At 45.4% G+C, this 4,251-nt stretch overlaps 1 annotated feature.

Moving 5' to 3' along the window:
- Nucleotides 1,961-2,112: a silencer, noted in NCBI's record as "fragment chr7:153162729-153162880 (GRCh37/hg19 assembly coordinates)". NCBI's record gives its function as "represses an EF-1alpha promoter that drives an FKBP-Casp9 reporter gene in an ReSE screen in phorbol 12-myristate 13-acetate-treated (for megakaryocytic differentiation) K562 erythroleukemia cells {active_cell/tissue: K562(+PMA)}" and the evidence as "EXISTENCE:reporter gene assay evidence [ECO:0000049][PMID:32094911]".

Below are 4,251 nucleotides of genomic sequence, written 5' to 3'. Positions count from 1 at the left end.
TACCAGCGTATGTGTCTTTTCTAGGCATCTGCACTTTCATCTTACTTCTCCTTTCTCTCCTCTCTCTCTGTCTCTCACTGCCTCTCACCATGTGGCTAGAAGGAAAGGACTCTAACATGGAGGCACTGCAATATGGAAGTAGTTTAGATCTCTGCCAATAAGAGAGCCTGTGTCAACAGGAAAGCCACAAAGCAGAGTCATGCAGGACAGTATTGCAAGAGACCCATGCAAAAGACCCCTGCAGGGGAGCACTGCAGGAGACCCATGCAAAATAGTCAGCAGGGGAGCACTACAGGAAATGGATGCAGAAGACCCATGCAGGGGAGCATTACAGAAGATCCATGCAGAAGAGCTTGCAGGATACTCATGCAGAAGACTCATGCAGGGGAGCTCTACAGAAGTTGGATGCAGAAGACCCACGTAGGAGAGCACTGCAGGAGACCCATGTAGGAGTGCTTGCAGGAGACTCATGCAGAAGACCCATGCAGGGAATCACTGCAAAAGATGCATGCAGAAGACCCATGCAGGAGAGCACTGTAGGAGACCCAGCAGAAGAACTTTCAGGAGACTCAGACAGGAGAGCTGATAGGAGACCATGCAAAGGACCCATGCAGGAGAACACTGCAGGAGACCCAGCAGGAGAACCTTCAGGAGACCCATGTAGGAGAGCTTACAGGAGACCCATGCAGAAGACCTATGCAAGGGAGCACTGCAGGGGAGCCTATGCAGAGAAGCCACTCAACCCATAGCTGACAGTGTTGTGAGAAATACAGTCTTTCCAGGGCTTTTCTTTTGCCACCACAGCATATCTGTTCTATTCCAATGAATACAGTGGATATCACAGAATGTGGGCTGCATTAGTTCGTTTTCATGCTGCTGATAAAGACATACCCAAAAGTGGGAAGAAAAAGAGGTTTAATTGGACTTACAGTTCCACATGGCTGGGGAGGCCTCAGAATCATGGCAGGAGGCAAAAGGCACTTCTTACATGGCTGTGGCAAAAGAAAATGAAGAAGAAGCAAAAGTGCAAACCGCTGATAAAACCTTCAGAACTCGTGAGACTTATTCAGTATCAAGAGAACAATATGGGGGAAACCACCCCCATGATTCAATTATCTCCCACCAGGTCCCCCCACAATACATGGGAATTCTGAGAGTACAATTCAAGATGAGATTTGGGTGGGGACACAGAGCCAAACCATATCATTCCACTCCTGGCCCCTCCAAATCTCTTGTCCTCATATTTCAAAACCAATCATGCCTTCCCAATAGTCCCCCAAAGTCTTAACTCATTTCAGCATTAACCCAGAAGTCCACAGTCCAAAGTCTCATCTGAGACAAGGCAAGTCCCTTTCACCTACGAGACTGTAAAATCAAAAGCAAGCTAGTTACTTCCTAGATACAGTGGGGGATCAGGTATTGGGTAAATACAGCCATTCCAAATGGAGAAACTGGCCAAAACGGGGGGTTACAGGGCCCACACAAGTCTGAAATCCAGCGGGGCAGTCAAATTTTAAAGTTCCAAGATCATCTCCTTTTACTTCAGGTCTCAAATCCAGGTCACACTGATGCAAGAGGTGGGTTCCCATGGTCTTGGGCAGCTCTGCCTTTGTAGCTTTGCAGGGTACAGCCTCCCTCCCAGCTGCTTTCATGAGCTGGTGTTGAGTATCTGTGACTTTTCCAGGTACACAGTGCAAGCTGTAGGTGGATCTACCATTCTGGGGTCTGAAGGATGAAGGCCCTCTTTTTTTACAGCTCCACTAGGCAGTGTACCAGTAGGAACTCTGTGTGGGGGCTCCAATCCCACATTTCTCTTCTGCACTGCCCTAGCAGAGGTTCTCCATGAGAGCCCCATCCCTGCAGCAAACTTCTGCCTGGGCATCCAGGCATTTCCATACATCTTCTGAAATCTAGGAAGAGGTTTCCAAACCCCAGTTCTTGACTTATGTGCACCTACAGGCTCAACACCACTTGGAAGCTGCCAAGGCTTGGGGCTTATACCCTTTGAAGCCATCACTCAAGCTCTATGTTGGCCCTTTCATCCACAGCTGGAGCAGCTGGGATGCAGGGCACAAAGTCCCTAGGCTGCACACAGCATAGGGACCCTGGGCCCATCCACACAAAACCACCTTCTCCTCCTAGGCCTCCAGGCCTGTGATGGAAGAGGCTGCCATGGAGACCTCTGACATGCCCTGGAGACATTTTCCTCATTGTCTTGGGTATTAACATTTGGCTCCTCGTTACTTATACAAATTTCTGCAGCCAGCTTGGATTTCTTCTCAGAAAATTGGATTTTCTTTTCTATTTCATTGTCAAGCTGCAAATTTTGCAAATTTTATGTTCTGTTTCCCTTTTAAAACTGAATGCCTTTGACAGCACCCAAGCTACCTCTTGAATGCTTTGCTGCTTAGAAATTTCTTCTGCCAGATACCCTAAATCATCTCTCTCAAGTTCAAAGTTCCACAGATCTCTAGGGCAGGGGCAAAATGCCACCAGTCTCCTTGCTAAAACATAAAAAGAGTCACCTTTGCTCCAGTTCCCAACAGGTTCCTCGTCTCCATCTGAAACCACCTCAGCCTGAATTTCATCATCCATATCACTATCAGCATTTTGTTCAAAACCATTCAACAAGTCTCTAGGGAGTTCCAGACTTTCCCACATTTTCTGGTCTTCTTCTGAGCACTCCAAACTGTTCCAGCCTCTGCCTGCTACCCAGTTCCAAAGTCACTTCCACATTTTCGGGTATCTTTTCAGCAGCACCCCACTCTACTAGTACCAACTTACTGTATTAGTCCATTTTCATGCTGCTGATAAAGACACACTCAAGACTGGGGAGAAAAAAAGGTTTAATTGGACTTACAGTTCCATATGGCTGGGGAGACCTCAGAATCATGGCAGGAGGGGAAAGGCACTTCTTACATGGCAGCAGCAAGAGAAAATGAGGAAGATGCAAAAGTGGAAGCCCCTGATAAAACCATTAGATCTCTTGAGACTTATTCACCACCACGAGAACAGAGTGGGGGAAACTGCCCCTGTGATTCAAATTATCTCCCATTGGGTCCCTCCTACAACACATGGGAATTCTAGGATTACAATTCAAGATGAGATTTGGGTGGGAACACAGAGCCAAACAATATCATGGACCAAATAGAGAAAGATGAGTGAGGAAGATATTCCAGATGGAGAAAATAACATGTGCAAAGAACTCAAAAGTAGAACATAACAAAAAGAAAGGGGAGAAATGTAAGCCTCTCCTCTGAAGTCACCCAGAATAATTTTCTTCAACATTTAATCTTCAATTACAAGCTGTAAATAATTTTTGCATATTATTAGTCCTGATGTTTTTCAGTTCAATGTGACATATTTCAGGTACCCCAATCAAATATCAAGAAATAAAATGTCAAATGCTGACTTACTTTGCATACTAGATACCAATGAAAGGTCATTGTCTGCAAAACCTACTAACTTGAAAAGGGCTTTGGACTGGGACCCAGGCTACTGATTCTAATTCCAGCTCTGGTCTAAGGTCACTAATACGTATCAGTTGAGTCATTAATGTGAACAATCAAGTTGGAAAAGATCAACTTAATGGTTTCCTCTAGTTTTGATAGTGTGTGCTTTTATGATTCTAACAAAGTTTAGTATTTCCTAAAGGTTGTCACACTGTATTGTCTCATGAAAGATTAACAAACCAAACTGATTGAGCACATCTGCAACTGCTCTGTGATAGTAATACAAAGGCTCCCAGAAGCACTGGCAGGGCATTTCCAAAAACCTACACATGACATGGGTACTGGGAGTGCTGGCTTTGTACCATGGAGTTCTGGCAGAAGCACTCAATTCAGTCTTGGTGACAGATCTTCTGAGAAAAGGAAGTTTCCAGTGTACTCATAAGAATATCCTGGGCCAGCTTCATAGAGATCCGTCCCCACATCCTGCCTTTTGTATAGAGCACTAAATGTAGTTACAATGAACTTGTCCCACTATAGTAACTGATATGGTCTGAATGTCTCCTCCAAAACTCATGCTGGAAACTGAATTCCCATTGTAATGGCATTGGAAGGTCAGGCATTTGAGAGGTGATTGGATTGTGAGGGTAGCACTGTCATGAATGGATTATTGCTATTGTGGTATCACGGGGGTTTGGCCCTATTTTTTCCTCTGTCTCATGTACTCCCTTCTGCCTGTCATCCTTCTACCATGGAAGAACACTTGCCAGTGGCTGAAACCAATCTCTTGGACTTCCCAGCC

The sequence above is a fragment of the Homo sapiens genome, chromosome 7 (genome assembly GCF_000001405.40).
Source record: "Homo sapiens chromosome 7, GRCh38.p14 Primary Assembly".
NCBI classification, from domain to species: Eukaryota; Metazoa; Chordata; class Mammalia; order Primates; family Hominidae; genus Homo; species Homo sapiens.
This window is presented reverse-complemented; position numbering and strand designations above follow the sequence as displayed.